The 26,215-nt window shown below is 38.8% G+C and overlaps 1 protein-coding gene across 14 annotated transcripts in view; it reads right to left on the reverse strand.

The window, feature by feature from the left end:
- Positions 1-26,215, reverse strand: part of SLC35F4 (solute carrier family 35 member F4) — a 419,262-nt gene that overhangs the window by 124,210 nt on the left and 268,837 nt on the right. Inside the window, exon 2 of one of the 14 annotated variants that reach the window (NR_159373.2) lies at positions 12,513-12,607. The exons of the other annotated variants lie outside the window; for them this stretch is intronic. The gene's annotated coding sequence lies outside the window, so the exon portion shown is untranslated. The remainder of the gene's footprint in view (positions 1-12,512; positions 12,608-26,215) is intronic. 14 annotated transcript variants of the gene reach the window in all.

Below are 26,215 nucleotides of genomic sequence, written 5' to 3' on the forward strand. Positions count from 1 at the left end.
CCAGGAATTAAAAGGATGGGTTACTAATGAGGAAAAGAGAGAAAGAAAGCAAAAAAGAGAGAGACAGAGGTCATGAGAGAGACAGACAGAGACTGAGAGATAGAGGAAAAAAAAAGGTATTGGTTAATTTTTTGTTCCTGACTACTACGTACAGACATGTGGGACCTAATGTTTCCTTTGCAAGTAAAATTTGGGATAAATTAGGTTTGATTGCAGCTAAGAGCATATTAAGACCTTGGAAAAACAACTCAAATTGTTGCATGGCAGAATGGATGTTATCTTTAACTATGGCATCACCATAAGACAGCTTTATAAATTACAGGGTACGATGGATTATTTTGATGAGATTATGGGTTCTTTATATTGCTTACTCAGACAGGGATAATAACAGAATACAACCACATATGTTTATAGTTTCTGTTGGAAAAGACCTTCAAGATGATCTGGATGAAATGAACAATGATCGCATCTCCACGGTATGTTTTCTTTATAATGAAGTTGGTACCATCTCTTAATCTGAGCAACCATATTTAGACATCAAGGTGAGAACAATTCTATCTAGATGTAACCAGTGGTCTACTATCTAACTGCAGTCAAGCTTTCCCTGCTATTCTTCCTACTGGCTCATACTCATTTGTTGATCTTGTGTTCCTTAAGTGACAAATGCTTGAAAATTCAAGCAGAATTGTGCATTATTACAAAGGGCTCCTCATTATTTACCATTGTAAATTAATTTCTGTCATTTACAATTCTAATAGGCAATTAACCTGGTTAAAACAGTGCTGTGGCAGTATGATGGTTAGTACTAGAGAAAATAACCATGCTTGGGGAAGTTGCCTAAGATGATGTCAAAGTTACTGTGTACCTATTATTTGTTAGGCAACTGCAATAAGAAATCTCTTTATAAAGATATTAAATAAAAACACATCATCAAGAAAACCATGGTTTTTCTCTATCCTCTCTTTCTCCACTGAAATATCCTATAAGTGCTTCAAATTCAGCATTCCACAAAATGAACTAACTTCTCCTCACTCGAAAATATGTTGGCTTTTCCTATATTGTTGACCTCAGTTAACAGCATCCTCCTCCAATTGAATTAGTAAGCCTCATTCCACCCTCAACTCGTCTCTGTCTTACCCCCAGGCCATTCACCCTGTCCTGCCAAGTTGACCTCCTAATTTCTTCTGGAGTCTATCCCACCTTTTAGCTCATTGTTACTGGCTTAATTCAAGTCCACACCATTACCTAGAGAATTCCAAGAGTCGCCCAAGAAAGAGCCATCTCAAATGCTAAACTGCTTTTAGGAATGAGGCAGCTATTCAAATAGCAACAAACAACAGAGCAGGAAGAACAAAAAAACCCTGCTCCCGGTCTCACTGTCCACCACCACCCTAGAAGCCATTTTCTATAACAATAGAGGTGTTTTTTGAAAATAAAAATTGAATATATCATTCCTTTGCTTAAGAATTTTCAATGGCTACCTATTGCTTTAAAGACTATCACAGGGACAAAAAACCAAACACTGCATGTTCTCACTCATTGGTGGGAATTGAACAATGAGAACACTTGGACACAGGAAGGGGAACATCACACACCGGGGCCTGTTGTGGGGTCGGGGGAGGGGGGAGGGATAGCATTAGGAGATATATCTAATGTAAATGACGAGTTAATGGGTGCGGCACACCAATATGGCACACGTATACATATGTAACAAACCTGCACGTTGTGCACAGGTACCCTAAAACTTAAAGTATAATAAAAAATAAAAATAAAAAAAAATAAAGATACAGCTCAAATTTTGTTTTAGCATGTAACCACTTTGTCTTTGCCTAAACTAAATGAGTTCATTTTCTTTTCCTCGAACAAATCATGCTTTCTGCCACCTCTAAATCTTTGCACACTCTCTCTTTCTAGAATGTTCTTTCATACTTTCATCTCTACTTCTAAACTCCTTCTATACTTCAACTTTTAAGCCTAAAATCACATATAACCAATTGACCAAGTCAGCATCTCATGGAATGAGTTAGCTACTCCTTCCTGTCAATGGCCCTAACACTTTTTACAAATCCCCATTATAAGCTGTTTATTTGGCAAAAACTATTGAGCACCTACTGTGTGCTAGGTACTACGAATACAGTAGCAAATAAGAAAGGTAAGGTCTATGTTCTCATGGCACTATTATAGTGGGGAGAGATAGTTAATAAATAAGCAAAAAGAGCACTACCTTTGGTGAAGTAGGACAAAAATTCAACTGGGCTAGATTGAAGAGAGAATAGATAAGGAAGTGGAGACAGCTTAGCAGATTTTGAGATTTTCATGTTTTTCTTGTCTTCTATACCAGCAGTCCCCAATCTTTTTGGCACCAAGGACTGGTTTCATGAAAGACAATTTTTCCATGGATGTAGGGGAAAGGGGTGGTGATGAGGGATGGTTTGGGATGATTCAAGCACATTACATTTATTGTGTACTTTATTTCGCTTATTACACTGTAATATACAAAAAATATAATTATACGACTCACCATAACGCAGAATCAGTAGGAGCCCTGAGCTTGCTTTCCTGCAACTAGATGGTCCCATCTGGGGGTAATGGGAGACACTGACAGATCAGTCACTAGATTCTCATAAGGAGTACACAATCTAGATCCCTGGCATGCACGGTTCACAATACGGTTCATGCTCCTGTGAGATTCTAATGCCACTACTGATCTGACAGGAGGTGGAGCTCAGGCAATAATGCAAGCAATGAGGACAGCTCTAAATACAGATGAAGCTTGGCTTGCTTGCCCGCTGCTCACCTCCTGCTGTGCAGCCCAGTACCTAACAGTATTGGTACGTAACAGTCTAGAGCAGGGGTCCCCAACCCTGGGTACCATGGTATCGGTTTGTGGCCTGGGGATTGGTGACCCTTGCCCTAGACTGTGACCTACAAAACATGAAGTAATGACATCTGATTTATTAATGTAAATGAGGTCATGGCACAGTGTATGGCTTGTAAGAAGTAATCAACAAATGTTGGATAAAGAAAAAAAGAAAGAAAGGGAGAGAGGGTGGGAGGGGAGGAAATGAAAAGGTGAAACCTCATGCTCACTTTCTGCCAACCAGCTTTTGGGTAACATAGCAAACCAACGGCAGAAAGATGAAATGCTAGTTAACATATCACACACTATAATGGACTGAAACCTAACTTCTTTTTATACATTGAAGGTCAAAGGAAACTGCAGTCTGCAACCAAGGACAGAAGTTCAAGGGTAGTAAAGGATTTTATACATGTTATAAAATTATATCCAAAACTGGTATCAGGGCACATATAATGGTGGACGTGCTATTTAAGAAAATTAAGAACAGAAGTGTTGTCTATAATACTAGCATGTGAATAAATCAACAGAATAACTGAAGCTTATACTGGCTATGCAAAAGTAATATTAATTATAGTCATTTATGTGAACTTCTGACCTTTTATGTTTAATTATCTTGCAGCAAAATAATTTTTATGTATATAACATTACATTTCAAAGATGATATTTGTTTATTATGTTTTTCAACTAATATTTATTTAGTGACTGCCATTTAAAGATATTCAGCTGGGCTCTATTAGGGGATATGAAAAAGCTCAGAAAAGAAGGCCCTTCTCTTAAAAAGCTACACTCTAATAGGAGAGACGAGATACTTATATAACATGATAGCAAATGTGACAGACTTAGATGAACAATGCTACGGGGGTGGAGGGCCTTACAAAGGAGGTCTCAGTGAGATCAATCTTGCAGGATGTGATAGAAGAGGGTGAGGAGAGAAGACATTCCAGAGTGAACAAAGTTCAGATGTGGAACACGATAGTGTGTGTCCAGGAAGCTGGAGAATATAGTCTGATAGAAAACTGTAACATGCAAAAAGGTGAAATAGGAGGTAAGACTGGAAAACTAGATTGTGATGAGATCATGATAGCCAAGTAGAAAACTTACATGTTGTTCACTTCCATATAAAAATTTCCAGAAAATGTTCAACAGACTATATTTGAAATTCTCTATATTGCATCCAATAGGTTTTCTTATTCCCAATCGAAGCTCCTAGTACGACGAAGTTCTACCGTGGAAGGACTTTTCTAACGTACAGCTCATTTGTGGTAAATCCATTGTTTTCACTCAGTAAAGGGCCAACTAGCCCTTTGTTGGTCTCAATGTCGAATTGCTATTAACTTGTGTTATATATGGATGGTGGTACCCCTTTAAAATGGTCATATATTTATTTCTATAGCTAATAGTCTATTGATTTTTAATTTATAATCATTTTATCTTCCAGCAGAGGTTTTGAGACAGTTTATCACTTATTGTTTGGAAAATCAGTCTTGTTTGTCAATAATTGATTTTAGTTCACCACTTAATCTGACGAAGTTCCCTGCTCTAAGGAATTAAATAACATTTTCTTTCTATTTCAAGAGATTCCCTGGCACTCTCCTGTGGTGCTATTGTGGATGGCACTTAAATTTTTAAATTTTCTGCTTATTGCTGATACGGAATTACAATTACCTAATTGTATATTTCTAACACAGTAGCCTTGATAAATTCTCATGTTAATCTGTAGTGAGGGATCAGCTTCTTTTTGTTCATACCTGACCACCAAGAAGGAGATACAATTTAACTGAAAAACCCTTACTTATAATCCACAAGGCTAAGTAACAGGCCTGTAGTATACAGCAGCTACTCATTTTTCCATATTATTTGTGTGCAAATCTCTACCTACAGGTGGAGCTAGTGTCCTAAAAAGTCACTGAAATGTACACAAGTCCATTTAGATCAGTGCTTCCAGAAGTATCCATCACCTACACAACTGTATCACACAATTTTTATAAATACCTATTTGAATACTCTAAACATGACAAAAATTAAAAAATCCCATATGTTTCATTATTCCAGTAACTATTTTATTAATTAAAACTTTTTTCAACAGTAAGTATGAGAGCCCGTTTTGATTCTTAAAGAGCAGATTATTTCAAGAAAACAAATACAGGCAGTTCTACAGTACTTTCTTTTTCTATTCAATTCATTTTACAATGTGTATACTTCTCTGTAAAGAGCTAAATTTACCAAATGAGTAGGGCACTAAGACAACATTTATGTAAGGTCAGTATTTTCCAACAATAAAATATTATTTGTTGTTGGTAATAGGCCCCCAAAATCTGGCCATAAATTGGCCCCAAAACTGGCCATATACAAAATCTCTACAGCACTGTGACATGTTCGTGATGGCCATGACGCCCACACTGGAAGGTTGTGGGTTTACCGGAATGAGGGCAGGAACACCTGGCCCACCCAGGGCAGAAAACTGCTTAAAGGCATTCCTGAACCACAAACAACAGCATGAGCGATCTGTGCCTTAAGGACAAGCTCCTGCTGCAGATAACTAGCCAGAGCCCATCCCTTTATTTTGGCCCATCCCTTTGTTTCCTGTAAGGAATACTTTAAGTTAATCTATAATCTATAGAAACAATGCTTATCACTGGCTTGCTGTCAATAAATACGTGGGCAAATCTCTGTTTGAGGCTCTCAGCTCTGAAGGCTGTGAGACCCCTGATTTCCCACTCCACACCTCTATATTTCTGTGTGTGTGTCTTTAATTCCTCTAGCACCACTGAGTTAGGGTCTCCCCGACTGAGCTGGTCTCGGCAATTTGTCCCCTAACTTTTTTTTTGCTTAATCTGTGTAGGTTCTATGCCCACACAGCACAGGTGGTTAGATCCCCAATCAGAATTTGAGCACGTATCAGACGAATATATTTTCCCAAGAATTCTAAATCTGGTATATTTATGATGCTTGAACCTAGTGTCAAACTTCAGAGATGAAAAAATTTCACCCAGTTCAACTCCTTCATTTACTAAAATTCCTTTAGAAAACAGTAAATTATAACATGGATTTAGAAAAGTAAACGAACTGAAGACACAGAATTCAATCATTTGTAACATAGTCAACAGCATGTAACCCCTTCCCATGTCAAGAAATAGAACATTGGGAGTACCTGAGATGATCTCTTCATACCCTCTTGAAATCCTACCTCTACCTCCAAGTATAATTGCATCTTTGGCATTCTTCATGGATTGACCACCAAAGAATGGATCCTTAAACTCTATTGACTAGCTTTGCTTCGTTGTTTTCAACATTCAAATAGGTACTTATCATTGTTTTCAATATTTAAATAATCAAATAGGTATTTATCAAAAATTGTGTGATACAGTTGTACATCCTTTACATAAACAGGATCAGATATCACTTTTTGTGTGCCTTGCTTTTTTCATTTTACATAATGTTTGTGAGACTCATAGAAACATTTTCTGTAGCTCTAATGTACTCATTTTTATTGCAGAATATTATTCCCTTGTATGACTATATCACAGTTAGTTACATATTTTCATGTTAATAGAAACAGTTTTTCCAGCTTGTAACTATTTGAACTAATGTTGAGAGTTTGATAGATATTTCACAGAATCTATCCCTCAGTTTGGGGAAAACTGACATCTCCACACTACTGAATTTTCCAATCTGTGAACATAGCATATCTCTCCATTTATTTCTGTCTTGTATTTCTGTCTTGTCTCTCGATAATATTTTACAGTTTTCTGTATAGAGGTCTTATACATAATTTGTCAGATTTATTCTTATTTGATTTTTGATGCTATTGTAGATGGCATTTCAATTTTTAAACTTTCTGTTTATTGCTGATTTAGAATTACAATTACCTAATTGTATATTTCTAATATAGTAGCCTTGATAAATTCTCATATTAATTTAAAACTCCTCTGTAAGTTCTTTTGGATTTTCTATGTACAAAATAATATCATGTGTAAATAATGAGGATTATTTATACATCCCTTCTTTACACGTTATACAAAGATTAATTCAAGATGGATTAAAGACTTAAATGTTAGACCTAAAACCATAAAAACCCTAGAAGAAAACCTAGGCAATACCATTCAGGACACAGGCATGGGCAAGGACTTCATGTCTAAAACACCAAAAGCAATGGCAACAAAAGCCAAAATTGACAAATGGGATCTAATTAAACTAAAGAGCTTCTGCACAGCAAAAGAAACTATCATCAGAATCAACTGGCAACCTACAGAATGGGAGAAAATTTTTGCAACCTACTCATCTGACAAACGGCTAATATCCAGAATCTACAATGAACTCAAACAAATTTACAAGAAAAAAACAAACAACCCCATCAAAAAGTGGGCGAAGCACATGAACAGACACTTCTCAAAAGAAGACATTTATGCAGCCAAAAAACACATGAAAAAACGCTCATCATCACTGGCCATCAGAGAAATGCAAATCAAAACCACAATGAGATACCATCTCACACCAGTTAGAATGGCAATCATTAAAAAGTCAGGAAACAACAGGTGCTGGAGAGGATGTGGAGAAATAGGAACACTTTTACACTGTTGGTGGGACTGTAAACTAGTTCAACCATTGTGGAAGTCAGTGTGGCGATTCCTCAGGGATCTAGAACTAGAAATACCATTTGACCCAGCCATCCCATTACTGGGTATATACCTAAGGGATTATAAATCATGCTGCTATAAAGACACATGCACACGCATGTTTATAACAGCACTACTCACAATAGCAAAGACTTGGAACCAACCTAAATATCCAACAATGATAGACTGGATTAAGAAAATGTGGCACATATACACCATGAAATACTATGCAGCCATAAAAAATTATGAGTTCATGTCCTTTGTAGGGACATGGATGAAACTGGAGACTTTTATATTATTATTTTCTAATAAAATACAAAAATTAACTCAGGATGGATTAAAGACTTAAATGTAAAACCTAAAGCCAGAAAAACCCTAGAAGAAAACCTAGGCAATACCATTCAGGACATAGGCATGGGCAAAGACTTCATGACTAAAACACCAAAAGCAATGGCAACAAAAGCCAAAATTGACAAATGGGATCTAATTAAACTAAAGAGTTTCTGCACAGCAAAAGAAACTATCAGAGTGAACAGGCAACCTACAGAATGGGAGAAAATTTTTGCAATCTATCCTTCTGACAAAGGGCTAGTATCCAGAATTTACAAGGAACTTAAACAAATTTATAAGAAAAAAACAAACTCATCAAACAGTTTGAGAACAGACACTTCTCAAAAGAAGGCATTTACGCAGCCAACAAACATGAAAAAAAGCTCATCATCACTGGTCATTAGAGAAACACAAATCTAAACCACAATGAGATACCATCTCACACCAGTTAGAATGGCAATCATTAAAAAGTTGGGAAACAACAGATGCTGGCGAGGATGTGGAGAAATAGGAATGGTTTTACACTGTTGGTGGGACTGTAAATTAGTTCAACCATTGTGGAAGACAGTGTGGTAATTCCTCAAGATCTAGAACAAGAAATACCATTTGACCCAGCAAGCCCATTACTGGGCATATACCCAAAGGATTATAAATCATTCTACTATAAAGACACATGCACATGTATGTTTACTGCAGCACGATTTACAATAGCAAAGACTTGGAACCAACTCAAATGCCCATCAATGATAGACTGGATAAAGAAAATGTGGCATATATACACCATGGAATATTATGCAGCTGTAAAAAAGGATGAGTTCATGTGTCCTTTGCAGGGACATGGATGACGCTGGAAACCATCATACTCAGCAAACTAACACAGGAACAGAAAACCAAACACTGCATGTTCTCACTCATAAGTGGGAACTGAACAATGAGAACACATGGGCACAGGGAGGGGAACATCACACACCGGGGCCTGTCCGGGGTTGTGGGGGAAAGGGGAGGGAGAGCATTAGGACAAATACTTAATGCATGTAGGACTTAAACCCTAGATGACGGGTTGATAGGTGCAGCAAACTACCATGGCACGTGTATACCTATGTAACAAACCTGCACGTTCTGCTCATGTATCCCAGAACTTTAAGTAAAATTTTTAAAAATATATTTTATTATGTAAATTGCTCTCTAAGCAGGTTTTAGATTCATCCTACAAATTTTGATATGTTGTATTTTTATTTTCATTCCATGCAAAATATTTCTAATTTCTCTTATGACTTTCTCTTTGATACATTGGTCATTTGCAAGTGTGCTATATAATTCTAAATATTTAGGGATTTTTCAAATGTCTTTTTGTTATTTCTATTTTAACTAACTTATGGTCAAAGAGCATAATTAGCATAATTTTAAACAAATTTTTAAAATGTATTAAGGTTGGTTTAATGGCCCTGAATATGATTATTATAGAACATTTAGAAAATCCATGGCCAGGCACAGTTGCTCATGCTTGTAATCTCAGCACTTTGGGAGGCCGAGGCGGGCAGATTGCTTTGAGCTCAGGAGTTCGAGACAAACCTGGGCAACATGGCAAAACCCCATCTCTACAAAAAATACAAAAATTAGCCAAGCATGGTGACATGCATCTCTAGTCCCAGCTACTTGGAAGGCTGAGGCTGGAGAATCGCTTGAGCCCAGGAAGCAGAGGTTGCAGTGAACTGTGATTGTGCCACTGCATGCCAACCTGGGTGACAGAGTGAGACCCTGTTTAAAAAAAAAAAAAAAGAAAGAAAATTCATGTAAGTAAAAATATTTGTTAAATTCCATTGCCAGAATAAGTTAACAGTCTGACATTTCCTTTTTATTCTTTTCACTATACTCCTATACAGACATACATGTGTATGGGTGTATACATATAGACATACACAATCACAAATGGAGAATCATACTGTACAATTACTTTGTAATCTACTTTTTGTCTGTAAGGTAGAATAAATGAGTGCTTAAGACATGAGGTCTGAAACAACACTGCCTGGGTCCAAATCCAGATTTCACCATTTACCGGCTACATGATTTGGGGCAAGGTTCTTAAATTGTTTGTGCTTCAGTTCTTCACATGTAAAATGGGGATAATAATAACAGCACCTATCTCATAGAGATTCTTAAGAGAATTGAGTTAATATAAACTACTTAGAACAGCACCAGACATCTTCTTAGATTATGTAAGTATCTACTAGTTTCTATGATTGCTTTCCCCTATCATGGCTGCAGTGTAAGGATATATCATAATTTATTTAGATCATACCCTGGTAATGAGCATTTAGATTACTTTCAGTATTTGCTATTACAAACTCACTGTGATAAAGATCCTTGTTAGGGCACACTTACGATTATATTCTCCCTTAGGATGAATTCATACAAGTGCAATTGCTATTTTGAAGAATGGACCTATTTTGAAAGGTTCTTAATGCTTTTGCCCAAGTCCCCAGAGAAGGTTTTTGGTTTTGTTTTTTAATTCATTTACCAACTCACCACTATACAACAAAGTGTGAAAACATATCATTTTAGAAAGCATTTTTCAAAGTCTTCCAAGATACATACTTCTTGAGGTTCAAGCAGATAATGGAATTGGAACACAAATTAATAGGTTAAGTTTCAAAGAGCTACCCTGAGAAAGAATTGTATTCCAGCACCACATAGCTAAACATGTCACTTTTTTTTTTTTTTCAATGGAGTCTTGCTCTGTTGCTCAGGCTGGAGTGCAGTGGCATGATCTCGGCTCACTGCGACCTCTACCTCCCAGGTTCAAGTGATTCTCCTGCCTCAGCCTCTAAAGTAGCTGGGACCACAGGTGCCTGACTAATTTTTGTATTTTTAGTAGAGAAGGGGTTTCGCCATGTTGGCCAGGCTGGTCTCAAACTCCTGACCTCAGGAGATCCACGCACCTCGGCCTTCCAAAGTGCTGGTATTACAGGTGTGAGACACCATGCCTGGCCATGAACATGTTACTTTTATAAATGAATCCCAGAAGGATGACAGCAGATGCCAACCAAAAAAGGAGAATTTGCTGTTTCATTGAGCAAATCTGGAAAATCAATGAACTGATTAAGGGAAATTGTATTAAGGCACTTATAGCTCTTTTAAGTAAGATGTAAGTCTGCCTTCTGTAGGAATAGACCATATAGACATTTTATGAAATGAAAATGTTTAATAGCATATAGAATACACAGAAAGAAATTTTATAAAGAAGAATGTTGTTTCCAATCATGACTATTTAGCTCTCTGATTTGATAGAGAAGTGCACTTCATACAAAAGAACAAAAAAATAGAGGATTTGGGGACAATATCTTTCACGTTATAGTACTGAAATCTTTAATGCCAATGTTTAGGAAGGTGATGAATATGTCATGAAGAGGCCCCCAAGCTTTTATTTTAACACTTTTTCAGATTAGACCCCATTTCCCCACGTGAATAGCAAATGTTCAAGAGAACTCTGCTCAGCAAGTAAATACAACCAAACCCAAGAATCCCTTACGTGCAAGAATTTCTTGTCACCAGGAAGTGTGGCTCATGAAACCAGGCCAGACATTCTCACTTATTAAGCCAGGCCTCAAAGGTAAGCAGCATGAGGCTTTCTTCTTTCAAATCAAGATTTTCCATAGGATAAATTTAATCACACCAAATGTGCAATCTCTCCAGGGAAGCCATCTTACCTTAAGAAAACTACAGCAAAACAAAAAGGCACCCCTCTTTTGGGGGAAAGAATTGAAGAAATTCTATTTCCTTATAGTAAACAAGCCAACTAATAGGGAACAAACTGATCTACTTTAAGGACACATAGACCCAGGGAACTAGAAAAATGAGGTCCATATAAATTTATTCATTTAAAAAGTCTCTAAAAGGAATTACAATTTCTTCTAAAATACAAATTCCAAGATTAACTTTCCTTTGAGTTGAGAGTCCATGGGATTTTTGTGCAAAATTTAAGGTCTAATTGCACAGGATAACTGATTTACTACAGTAGTCTTCCCTTATCTGCAGGAGATACATTCCAGGATCACCAGTGGATGTCTGAAACCACAAATAGTACTGAACCCTATAGGTACTATATTTTTTCCTATACAATCTTAAGTTGCTTAATGATGAGGATACTTTCTAAGAAATGCATTGTTAGGTGATTTTGTCATTGTGTCAACATCGTAGAGTGTACTTATACAAATCCAGATGTATAGCCTACTACATACCTAGGCTATATGGTATAACCTGTTGCTCCTAGCATACAAACCCCTACAGCATGTTACCGTACTGAATACTATTTGCAGTTGTAACACACTGTTCAGTATTTATGTATCTAAACATTAAAAAGTACAGTATAAAAGACAGAAAATGGTACACCTGTATAGGGCACTTACGATGAAGGAAGTTTACAAGGAAGTTTACAAATTGCTCTAGGTCAGTGAGCAACTGGTAAGTGGATGTGAAGTCCTAGGACATTACTGTACACTACTGTAGATTTTATAAACACTGTACATTTAAGCTACTCTACATTTATATTTTAAAAATTCTTTCATTAATAATAACTTTAGTTTGTAACATTTTTTACTTTATAAATTTAAATTAAAAAATTTTTGACTCTTTTATAATGCTTAGCTTAAAACACACATTGTATACCTGTACAAAAACATTTTCAGGCCAGGCATGGTGGTTCATACCTGCAATCCCAGCACTTTGGGAGGCTGAGGCGGGTGGATTGCTTGAGTCCAGGGGTTCGAGACCAGGCCATGGGCAACATGGCAAAACTCCATCTCTACAAGAAATACAAAAATCTGACCAGGCATAGTGGTGTACACCTGTAGTCCTAGCTACTCAGGAGGCTGAGATGAGAGGATTACCTGAGCCTAGGGAGGCAGGTGCTGCAGTGAGCCAAGATCACATCATCGCACTTCAGCCTGGGTGACAGAGTGAGACCCTGTGTCAAACAAACAAAAAAGCCCCCCAAAAACAACAAAAAATTCTTTTTTATATCCTTATTCCATACTTTTTTTCTAGCTTAAATTTGGTTTTGTTTGCTGTCTTTTTTATGTACCTATAAAGACAGGGTCTCACTATGTTGCCCAGGTTGGTCTCAAACTCCTGGGTTCAAGCAGTACTCCCACTTTGGCCTCCCAAAGTGCTGGGATTATAGGCGTAAGCCACCATGCCTGGCCTATTTTTTTTTAACTTTTTACATTTTTGTTATTGTTGTTAAACACTAAGACACACACTTTAGTCTAGACCTACACAGGGTCAAAATCATCAATATCACTGTCTTCCACCTCCACTTCTTGTTCCACTGGAAGGTTATAAGAGCAATAACATGCATGGAGCTGTCATCTCCTATGATAACAATGCCTTCTTCTGAAATACCTCCTGAAAGACCTGCCTGAGGGTGTTTTACAGTTAAATTGTTTTCAAAAAATGAGTAAAAGTAGTACACTCTAAAACAATGATAAAAAGTATAGTTATAGTAAAAACATAAACTGTTAACACAGTCATTTATTATCATTATCAAGTATTATATACCATACATAATTGTATGTTATATTTTTATACAGCTGGCGGCATAGTAGGTTGATTTACACCAGCATCACCACAAACACATGAGTAATACATTGTGCCATGATGTCACTAAGCAATAGGAATTTTTCAGCTCCACTATAATTTCACGGGACCACTGTTGCGTATGTGGTCAGTCATTGACCTAAATGTCGTTACGTGGCACATGACTGTATAAACATACCTATGATAAAGTTTAATTTATAAATTAGGCACAATAAGAGATTAACAACAATAACTGATATGGAAGTCGAACAATTATAACAACCTACTATAATAAAAGTTATATGAATGCGATGCCTCTCACACTCAAAATATCTTACCGTATTGTACTTACCCATTCTTCAGACCTCAGCTGACCACAAATAACTGAAACTGTGAAAATAGAAATTGTGGATAATGGGGGACTACTGTATATTTTCAATATTCTAGGAATGGGAAGGAGACTAAATATGCAATAGTAATATGAAAGAGACAGCCATGAGAGACAAAGCTGTATCCATAAGTTTGATTAGAGGGTGGTCTGTTTGGAAAACAGGATGCTTCAAAGGCTACCACAAAGTTACAGGAAAACAAACTTCTGCAAAGGCATTTGACCAGCCACTGCCTGTCCCACCCTGGACTGGCATCACCCTTGTTACTCATCCTTGTAGCCAAAGATAATTATCTCAACACTGTGAAGTAATCCTCTTGTATTTTCCCCTTAAAAACCTTTGTCCTCCTTTACCCCCCTGAATACGCACAGTTTACTATGGCACACATATTCCCATTGTAATGCACTATGCCCAAATAAATATCATTTTCTTTAAAAAAAAAAAAAAAAAAAGGAAAACAGGGTGCTTAACTGAAAACTGATACCAAACCTGTGCCTGTTCTATTCATTGTACTTCCCTCTATTTTAAATAATATTCTGTTACAGTTGTGACTTGATATGTCCTTGCATATGACAGGTCATCATGTAAAAAATCCATTTAACTCTGGCATCTTTAATTTAGTTGAATAAAATATCTCATTCTACAAACTGGTAATGATAGTTTCTCAAAATGTTTGCTCTGTGCCTCTGTCATAAGGGTGAATATTAACAAAAACAGTGAAAAATATGTCAACTCCACCTCTAATTTAAACATCTGAAGACTAAGAGAGATTTCAAAACTGATTTGTTCTAGGCCAGCAAATTACAGCACCAGCAGCACACTTTCTCTTTCCAAAGTGCTTTTCCATTATTAATCACATTTTCTGCACGATGTTCCTTCCGTGAGCTGATTCAGTCTAATCCCCATTTTATGGATGAGTATATTTAGGCATATAAGGAGATGCTAATCTTCTGTAGGCTATAAAATAAAGGCAGTGGACAGTGGCCATAATCAACGAGGATAATAATTTTCTGAGTTCTGATCCTACATTTTCTGTGGGTTGTTGGGATACATTGTCTTTGTTTTTAAAAATACACACACATACACACATATTCTTTATATCAAGCTACAGTGTAGATTGATTTTGCACACATAAATATAAAATGAACCACCAGCTCTTCTGCTAAGCCAGATGGCACGGCAGAATAATAGGAAACTAGAACTTTAGAGTCAAGCAGACCAATTCAAGTCAGGTTTTTTGCCACCTACCAGCTATATAAACCTGAGTGCTATTTTCGTCCATCAACTTCATCTTCACAGACTGGTAGTGAGATAGAGCAAATGCAAGCAGAGTAACTGGCATGTAATACATGCTTGAATGTCTGTTCCCTCCATCCTTCCCCACATCATCAGAAAAATACAGTAGGTGGCAAATTAAATCAGTGTCCTTTACTACTTACCCTGGACAAATGACAATTTGCAAGTTTGCAGTGCATGGCTCTCAAATAGCACAGGGCAGGGCTAAGTTGGAATGTGCCATCCTCAAACATGCTGCTCCCAAGAGGCCAACAGACAAATGTGAGTAATCCCCTTGTCTTTGCCATCACCTACGCTGTCCAAAGGGCTAATGGTAGTGGCAACTGCCAACAAGTGGGCAGTGGTAGAGGTGAACCTTTATGAACAGGGCTAAGCCAATACCAGATTATTATTCCCCATACAATTAGGGGTCACAGCTGAGTACAGCAACCTCATCCTTAAGCACGTCTATTTCCCCTGGATGCTAAACTTGACATAATCAAGCTATTCTCATACTCTTTTGACTTACTAGCATTAGGCTCAAAAACTCCTCAGGAAATTATTTGTCATTCATTCTAAAGGGAATCACTCTAATAAGCTGAAAATATCCAGATAGCTTTTCAAATCACTTTTACACTGTTTCAATACTCTATTATTATACTTTATCAGCTTGAAAACAAGTGCCTTAAAGGGCGTAATTTTTTCCTAAAAAACAAAAACAAAAACCAGGCTGTATCCTGTTCTCTGGAAAATGAACCTCTGGGATGATGCAGTGAGCCACAGAACTCCAAAGACCCTTAGAATTCCCTGCTGGAATTTTCCACTACTGCCATCCCAGATCCAAAATCTAGAGCCTTGACCCCAAAGTATTTCTCTTCACCTTTTCTATAGCAAAGAACTATTTCTCTAGGCAGGACTTAGAACTAGAGAGTTCAAAACTATTTTATTTTGGTGTGAAGAAACATAGTCACCCAAAATTTTATTGCTTGACCTTGAGTAAGTGTTCTAACTTCTCAGGACTCCAAAGGGGTTGGAAGCAAGTTTGGCCTCTGTTAACCACCACTTTGTGGTTTCCTATGTGTAAAAGTCTGGTCGGACGGAAACCTCTGAACTAAGAGTTGGAAAGCTGGGGTTCTGGTCCTGGTTCTGATAATACCTGTGTGGGACCTGAACTTCTATGGTTTCAGTTTCTCCATTTATATAGTAAGTGTCAATGGCCAGATAGTAATTCTTGCCTTTAAACAAATTCTGATGAAAGCTGGACTGTCTTAGAAAAAAATGTTCATCGTTACAAAGATTGGCATAAAATGTTAGGAGCTGCTCCAGCCCCTTTGAGGACCCTATGGTTACTATACTGGACACTCTGACAAGATATGACATGATACCCACCCCCTGACAAGAAGGGCTATCTCCTGACACACTGGCCCCTGTTGCGGGAGACAAGGAAGAGTGGATTAAGGAGAAAGATGCATGAGAAGGCCAAGGTGAGATATAATGACTAGATCAGTAGCTAAGATATACTCTCCCTACACATAAATTTAGGCCTCTGTGCAAAGAAAGAGCTCGCTTCTGTGGCCCTGTGTGCATTTACACAGGAAGTCAACCAAAATGTCTCATTTACTGTTGATGTTATGTGCATGAGAGAGCCCCTGGCCTGTAATCACTCCTTTCCTAGCAATACTCAGGCAGAAGCTCACCCTGCATACAAATTGCCCATCAGGGCTTCTTGCAGCAGAGTGGAAGTCAGAAGTGCTCCTGAGTCAGTGGCTCTTTCCCAATTAGGGTTGGACAGCAGAGGCTGCTTACTAGCAATAGAATGTCACCAGGAGTACCTCAGTGCACAAAAAGAATTAGGATAAAGAATAATGTATAGTTCTGCATTGGCTACTAATTGCGCAATACTATATCCAGCTCATAAAATTGTTCTGAGAATCAAATGAATTAATATATGTTAAAAATTTTGAATAGTGGCTGGTACAAAGAGAGGACTAATAAATGCTAGCTAGTAAAATTACTGGAATTCAATCCAGCAGTAGGTTTTGAATCAAACCTACTGCAAATGGAATCAAAAAGATCTTATTTTACTCAATAATTGAACAAAAGGGCCAGAAGGTAGAATATATGGTAAGTCCTTAATTCATTTATTTAGAACAATACAAATAGCAATTCTAGTGCATACACAGTTATTATTACAAAATCTAGCACTAATTGTATACTTCCTGTGCTGGTTCTCTGTCTGACTCCACCTTACTCCACTTATTCTCTGCCCTTCTCTGCTCTACTCCGCATCCCAGAAAGCTGCCCTCCATTGACTCTTATGATATGGGCTTTCTAACTCTCTGACTTTTGACTAGGTCTAGACAAATGGAGGCACCAGCATGAGATGAAAGCAGGTATGTTCCTCCATGGCCAAAGCTCCTGTTGAGTAGCCCCACTTCCATGACCCCAGCTTGCTCAGGGTTTGGGTATCACTATTCTTTCCCTCTGCTTCTTGAGACCAATGGATGATGTCACTTTTCCACTGTGATTAGACTCTGAATGTTTCACCATCCCTTACTGGTCCTATTAACCCTGTACACACCTCTATATATAGTCCATAACACTTTTTAATTAAAGCCTTTGACTGCATCTGTTTCCTACTGGGAAACTAACATACTGTCATATTTTCTTATATAGATGTTTCCTCGAAGTTAGTTTTTTTTCTCCCTAACTAGAGGTTAGAAGAGTTGTCTTCAACTTTTCCCACTTCAAACAGAAAGAACAATGTGTTCAGGGTACATGCCTAGTGCTCCACTCAATCCTGTGTTTCCTCCAAAAGAAGGCACCTTTAACTAAAGAAAGCATCTCTAAAACTTGATGTGCCTACTGCAATGAGTCTTTGTGCTTCCTTAGCTGAGCTGTTCTAGATAATTGGATCAATCATTCTCCACTGTAACGTCAGCCTCAACAGAGTGCTTGAATCAACTGTGAACTGTGAATGATCGGTTACTAGTAATAACTATGCCTGCATATTACAGAGATTATGTCTGTGTCCATCTATGTAAAAAATTTAAGGCAGATTCAAGTTTTTGTCAAAAAATGACATCATTGTCCTAGATTGCAGTCTAGTCTTCTTAAAGTGAGAGGGAGAAACGGGTGGAATTGCCAATGGGACATCAAGAATTCTATAGGAAAAAGCTGAAAATGTAACTTCAAAAATTGGACATGTTTCTGAGACTGTCATATATTCACTTACTACAGGTTTATTGAAGGTGGCCATGTTGCAGGCCTGTGTCAAGCACAGAGGATACAGCAGTAAACAACACAGAAATGGTTTCTACCTTCAAGGATCATGCAGTGTGACTTAAGTTCATAAATATAAGGAATGTCATGAAGAAGAAATTCAGATGCTATTTGAGCATATAACAGGAGTCTCAACTTACCCTGGGTAGTCAAAGAAGGCTCTGTGAGGAAGCAAAGTTCAAGCAGAGCCCAGTAAGACTGGCATTTGGCCACATGAGTGGAGAAGGTGGAGTGGGCGAAAGAAAGCTGGAACAGCATGTACCACCAAGAGATGGGAAAGAAGATCATGTGTTCAAGGAGCTGAAATAGGCCACTGTGGCTATAGTAGAATGAATACAAGATGAGGCTGGAGAAGTGGGCCAGATAACGCAGGACTTTGCAACCAAGTCAAGAATGTGAATTTTCTCTTAAGGCCAATAGGAAGCTATTGAAGGGCTTTGAGAAGGAGAGAGTCATTACCAGATTCTGAAAAGATCTCTCTCTCTGGCTGCAATAGAAAGGTTAGATTAATGAAGGCAAGAATGGATGTGAGAAGACTGGTTTGGAAGCTGGTGTATTTAGTCCAGGCAAAAGATTATGTCAATTTGAACCAAGATGGAGAGAAGTATTTGGATTTAAAAGGTATTGGGAAAAAGAATCAGTAAAACTTTGAAACTGGGGGAATGTGGAGAATAAAGGAGAAGGTGTAGTTTTGATAACTCCCACTTATCTGATTTGGGTAGCTGGATGATGAAGATGTTACTTCCTGAGATAAGGTGACACAGAATAAAGACAGAGCTGCAAGCATGATAATGTGGTCTGGCTTTGTCCCCACCGAAATCTCATCTTGAATTGCAGTTCCCATAATCCCCACATATCATGGGAGGGACTTGGTGGGAAGAGATTGGATCACGGGGGCAGTTTCACCCATGCTGTTTTTATGATAGTGAGTGAGTTCTCATGAGATCTGATCGTTTTAAAAGCATCTGGCATTCCCCCTGCTTGCACTTCTCCCTGCTGCTACCTTGTGAAGAAAGTACCTTACTTCCCCTTCACGTTCTGCCATGATTGTAAATTTCCTGAGGCCTTCCCAGCCGTGAAGAACTATGAGTCAATGAAACCTCTTTCCTTTAGAAATTACCCAGTCTTGGGTATTTCTTCATAGCAGCATGAGAATGGACTAATACAATAAATTGGTACCGAGCTAGTGGGACATTGGTAGAAGATACCTGAGAATGTGGAAGAGACTTTGGAACTGGGTAATGGGCAGAGGTTGCAACAGTTTGGAGGACTCAGGAAAAGACAGGAAAATGTGGGAAAGCTTGGAACTTCCTAGAGATTTTGAAACTGCCTTTGCAAAATTATAACTGAGGAAATTATGACAGTGAAAGAAACCAGACCTAACTGATTCCATCTTGCTTCTAAACTTTAAGCTGTCCTTGTTCATTCCTTGGTGTAGGCCGAACTAACTTTAGGTAGGAATTCAGTTTATGGTTAGACTCTGAAACAAAGTTGATTAACAGCCCTTTCCCAAAAATACCCCCTTATTTCCTAGGGACCAGTCTGCCTCTGCAGGATTAACAAATTAGCCACAAGATTAGAAATTACAGTTTAGGGATCGTGTAGCCTCTGGCTCCAAGAGTCTGAACCTCCCCCACTTGCTCCTGGGGATAACATGACTATTGTAAAACCTAAGATCAGTGCTTGAGATATTTTGCAGACCCTGCACTTGATGGATCAGCTGATGCCACCCACACCAGTGATCTGGCTCAACCAGTTCTGCTATCCCAACCAGTAACAGAAGACAGCAAGAAAATTTCACTTTGACCCCCTATGATTCCATCTCAAACCTGACCAATCAGCACTCCCTACTTCCCAAGCCCCGACCCACCAAATTATCTTTAAAAACTCTGATCCCCAATTGCTCAGGGAGACTGATTTGAGTAATAATAAAACTCTGGTCTCCCACACAGCCGGCTCTGTGTGAATTACTCTTTCTCCTTTGTAATCCTGTCTTGATAAATCAGTTATGTCTAGGTAGCAGACAAGGTGAACCCATTGGACAGTTACAACTTGTTGAATGGTTTTGACCAAAATGCTGATAGTGATGTGGACAATGAAGTCCAGGCTGAGGTGTTCTCAGTTGCAGATGAGAAACTTGTTGGGAACTTGTAGGGTACAGCCCCACAGAGTCGGTAGGTTTTTCTCCCCATGTGCGGAGACGAGAGATTGTAGAAATAAAGACACAAGACAAAGAGATAAAAGAAAAGACAGCTGGGCCCAGGGGACCACTACCACCAAGACACGGAGACCAGTAGTGGTCCCGAATGCCATGCTGCGCTGATATTTATTGGATACAAGACAAATGGGTAGGGTAAAGAGTGTGAGCCATCTCCAATGATAGGTAAGGTCATGTGGGTCACGTGTCCACTGGACAGGGGGCCCTTCCCTGCCTGGCAGCTGAGGCAGAGAGAGAGAGGGAGAGAGAGAGAGACAGCTTACACCATTATTTCTGCATATCAGAGACTTTTAGTACTTTCACTAATTTGCCACTGTTATCTAAAAGGCAGAGCCAGGTGTATAGGATGGAACATGAAAGCGGACTAGGAGCGTGACCACTGAAGCACAGCATCACAGGGAGATGGTTAGGCCTCCAGATAACTGCGGGCAGGCCCAACTGATGGCAGGCCCTCCACAAGAGGTGGAGGAGTAGAGTCTTCTCTAGACTCCCCCAGGGAAAGGGAGACTCCCTTTCCTGGTCTGCTAAGTAGCAGGTGTTTTTCCTTGACACTGATGCTACCGCTAGACCATGGTCCACTTGGCAATGGGTGTCTTCCCAGATGCTGGCATTACCGCTAGACCAAGGAGCCCTCTGGTGGCACTGTCCAGGCATAACAGAAGGCTCGCACTCTTGTCTTCTGGTCACTTCTCACTATGTCCCCTCAGCTCCTATCTCTGTATGACCTGGTTTTTCCTAGGTTATGATTATAGAGCGAGGATTATTATAATATTGGAATAAAGAGTAATTGCTATAAACTAATGATTAATGATATTCATATATAATCATATCTATGATCTATATCTAGTATAACTATTCTTATTTTATATATTTTATTATACTGGAACAGCTCATGCCCTCGGTCTCTTGCCTCGGCACCTAGGTGGCTTGCCGCTCACAAAACTGGAATAAAGGTGCTCTTGCTATGCATTAGCAAAGAGACTGGCAACATTTTGCCCCTGCCCTAGAGATCTGTGAAACTTTGAACTTGAAAGAGATGATTAGATTTCTAAGGTATCTAAGGGTAAGATCTCTTAGATACCCTAAGGTATCTGGTAGAAGAAATTTCTAAGCAGTAAAGCATTCAGAGGTGACTTGAGTGCTCTTAAAAGCATTCAGTTTTATGCATTCACAAAGATATGGTTTGGAATGGGAACTTATGTTTTAAAGGGAAGCAGAACATAAATGTTTGGAGAATTTACAGCCTGATTATGCAATAGAAACGAAAAACCCATGTTCTGAGGAGAAATTCAACCTGGCTGCAGAAATGTGCATAAGTAACAAGGAGCCAAATGATAATCACCAAGACAATGGGGAAAATGTCTCCAGGGCATGTCAGAGACCTTTAGAGCAGGCCCTCCCATCACAGGCCCAGAGGCCTAGGAGGGAAAAATGGTTTCCTGGGCTGGGACTCCTGCTCTGTGCAGTCTCAAGACATGGTGTCCTGTGTCCCAGCTGCTTCAGCTCCAGCTATGGCTAAAAGGGGCCAAGGTACTGCTCAGGCCATTGCTTCAGAGGGTGCAAGCCCTAAGCCTTCACAGCTTTCACATGGTGTTGAGCCTGTTCGTGCACAGAAGTCAAGAATTGAGCTTTTGGAACCTCTGCCTAGATTTTAGAGGATGTATGAAAATGCCTGAACATCTAGGTAGAAGTTTGTTGCAGGGGTGGAGCCATCATGGAGAACTTCCGCTAGGGCAGTGCAGAAGAGAAATGTGGGGATGGAGCCCCCACACAGAGTCCCTACTAGGGCACTGCCTAGTAGAGCTGTGAGAAAAGGGCCAGCATCCTCCAGACCTCAGAATTGTAGATCCACTGACAACTTGCACCATGCACCTGGAAAAGCCACAGATACTCAAAGCAGTCTATAAAAGCAACCAGGATGGGGGCTGTACCCTGCAAAGACACAGGGGTGGAGCTGCCCAAGGCCATGGGAGTCGACCTCTTGCACCAGTATGACCTGGATGTGACATGGAATCAAAGGAGATCATTTTGGAACTTTAAGGTTTAATGACTGCCCTATTGAATTTTGGACTCACATGGGTCCTGTAAGCCCCTTAGTTTTGGCCAACTTCTCCTGCTTGGAATGGGGATATTTAACCAATTCCTGTAACCACATTTTATCTTGGAAGGAACTAACTTGTATTTTATTTTACCTGCTCATAGGTGGAAGGGACTTGCCTTGTCTCAGATGAGACTTTAAACTTGGACTTTTGAGTTAATGCTGGAATGAGTTAAGACTTCGGGGGACTGTTGGGAAGGCATGATTGTGTTTTGAAATGTGAGGATATGAGATTTGGGAGGGGCTAGAGTGGAATTATATGGTTTGGCTGTGTCCCCACCCAAATCTCATCTTGAATTTTAGTTCCCATAATCCGCACATATCATGGGAGGTACCCAGTGGGTAGTGATTGGATCATGGGGTGGTTTCCCCTGCTGTTCTCATGATAGTGAGTGAGTTCTCATGAGATGTGATGGTTTTATAAGCATCTGGCATTTCCTCTGCTTGCACTTCTCCCTGCTGCTACCTTGTGAAGAAGGCACCTTGCTTCCCCTTTGCCTTCCGCCATGATTGTAAGTTCCCTGAGGCCTTCCCAGCCAGGCAGAACTGTGAGTCAATTAAGCCTCTTTCCTTTATAAATTACCTAGTCTCGGGTATTTCTTCACAGCAGCGTGAGAATGGACTGATACACATGGGAACACTACCCATCAGGTTTAGAAGTAAAAAAAAGTGGTTATGACCGAGTTAAACTATGAGTTGAATCATATGAAATGGCCATTATGAGACCATTTTTTATGTACAATAATGGAAATTTAATTTGGCCCAACCTAATAGCAATAGCACTGGCACAAAAGCCTCTGTTCCAGAATTAACATACTGTTGAAAGAACCACCATTTGTTATGGTGCTCTATCAGACTTTCCTCAAGACTAGCTCAGGAATCTCTATAGTCACAGTCAATAATGAACCACAGAAAGAGGGTATAAGGGTCACATGTACACACATATACCAGAAAGCCAAATCAAGATATGATGAGGCACAGACTTATCAAACCGAAGCGCAGAAAATTAAGCTGCATGCAGCACTACTGTAAGATCAAACAAATCCAATGTACCCCAGAGCTATTTTAGAACTATTGGAAAACACTTATCCAATTAACTTACAGCCTTCAGTGAAGTGAGAGTTTAGAAACTGGTTCACTTATTTACCATAATGCCAGGAAAAGCAGGCAAGAAATGTACTGTGTCTGTTTCTAATTTTAAGTAAGAATCCAGGTTTCTCACTCTGTACATTACTTAGAGAAACAGGTACATAGCATGGCATATGGAGGTTTCATCCTAGATCTTGGATTATTGTCAATTGTCTCTACTATACATTGAAAGGTTGCAGCTCTTCTTTTATAAATGGAGTGCAAAAGGCTCCACAAAGGACAATAAGGTATATTAGCCAGGGTCTAGCATTCCTCATTGCACTTTTTGAGAGGAACATGCCACCTTCTCGGGCTGTGTTCTCTGCTACTGAATCCCTATTTATCTTGAAGCCAAATCACAACTGTAACATGAGGTGGCATCATTTGCCTACACAGTATGAGGTTGTTTTCACTGCACACAGCTTTATCCTGAAGGTCGTTTCAAATTAGTGATTCGTTTCACTTTGCTTCTATCTGGTTTTAGCACATAAGTCATGATTAACAGGGAAATATCCTGCTAGTGAAAGGTAAAATTGCATGTTTATAAGAGCCAAACCTAATACATTGGCTACTAGCTCAAGTTATTAGCCTAGAGTTTTTCAAGGTATTGACATTAACAAATTGGTATCTCACACGTAATATTTTCTATGTGAAGTCTCATTACCAGGTTTGTTTCAATGTAGCTGTTTTCTTCACTCCTTCTAACCCTGGGGGGAATTTATACCCCACAGTTAATTACCTTCTTCATTTACTTTCATTTCAGAACTGCTTAACAAATAGATTTTTAAAAGTAGAAAAGGAGTATTTTTGAATTTACATAACATTTGTTAGTTTCTCTCAAGAAAATAATGCATATTTATATTCCATAATTTTAAAAGAGCTTTTAAATGTCTGCCAAAAGTAAAAGAAGTTATTTATAATCCACTTAATGGGTGATGTAAACAATTTTAAAGATGTATCTGAGACTAGTTGGTCACAGTGAGTTAGAGCAGTAATTCCCCACCTTTGAGGAGTTTCAGTACCCGATTGTTCTTGGTTTGGTTTTATATTTTCTGCCACCTCCACGCTCTCAGAAATGGCATTTGCACATATTCATTTTATAAGTCATCTAAGTCAGAAACTTAAAAAAAATCCCGAATTTCTTTTCCATTATCCAACCCTCTTTCCAGATTAAATCAAGTCACCAAATTCTGCTCATTCTCCCAATTAAATGTTTCTAATCTCTCCACATTGCTCCATCCTCACAGCTACTACCTTGGTTTAAGTCTTATTATCTGTCACCTGAACAACTACCAGGGCTCCCCAACTCATTTCCCTGCTTTCAGTTATTTTTGCAGTTCAAGCAGTCCTACACAGTATGACAGCATGATCTTTCTAAAACACAGATCTGTTTCTTTCTTTCCCATTAAAACCCTTCATTGGCTCTCCCTTGCCCACAGAATAAAACTCAATGCCCTTGATGTGATGTGTTAGACCCTCCATCTGGTGGTTCTTTTCCTCTTTCTCCAGTTTTATTTCCCCTCCCCTATCCCATACCCCCTAGTTTAAGTACCAGCCATGACCAAGAATACACACTATGCTAGTTCACACCTTTACACCATCAAACATTTTATTCTCTCTACAGAGAAATTTTCTCTGCCAAATTAAGTTTTTCCCCCTTCAGTGCCAGAACAAAACTGGGTAAGTACTGTGTTTCTCTGTTTGCATTTACTACACTGTACAATAATTTTGTTTCCATAGCTGCTTTCCTTTGCAGAATACAAGAAGGGTAAGGAGGTTTTCTTATTCATTTTACCTTTGCCAGAGTCTAGCCTGGTATCTGACCTAGGGTACGTGCTCAATGAATGGACGGAGGGGGTGCCAAATGGAATGTGCTCAATTTTTTAAAAAATCAAATTAATGGACATGATTTTGCTGTAAGAATATTGGGAATTCCTTCAGACACATGAAGAAATCACAAAATGTTGTCCAATCTTCCATCGAACTGCTGTTGTTGTAGCCCTACCTCCCCCACCCCCCATGGGTCAGCTTCTTTCTGCTCAAAATACAGATAACCTACAATTTCTAACCACACAAATATTTCTGCAGATAATTGCTAGGCACAATGTGTTACCCAGAAAGCAAAAAATACTTAAAATACACCTAACACAGGGACAGTAGCAGCCTCTTTATATATGACATGACATTTATTGATACAAACTTAGCATGTGAAAGGAGAAATGCCTACTCAGAATCAAAGAGTATAAGAAAATCTTTCTTTATAGCAAAACCAACTTACTTTCTAAAAATCATTATTCTTTGACCCATTCCAAAACAAAGTTTCTCCATAATTGGTTAAGTCATAGACCTGACAATAATGCATCCACTCTTTAAGCCAGAAAATAGGAGAGTTTTGCCTCAAAACATGATAAATAAAAATCCCAGGGCCTGAGCAACATTTTATTA

This window comes from Homo sapiens, chromosome 14 (assembly GCF_000001405.40).
Source record: "Homo sapiens chromosome 14, GRCh38.p14 Primary Assembly".
Taxonomy (NCBI): Eukaryota; Metazoa; Chordata; class Mammalia; order Primates; family Hominidae; genus Homo; species Homo sapiens.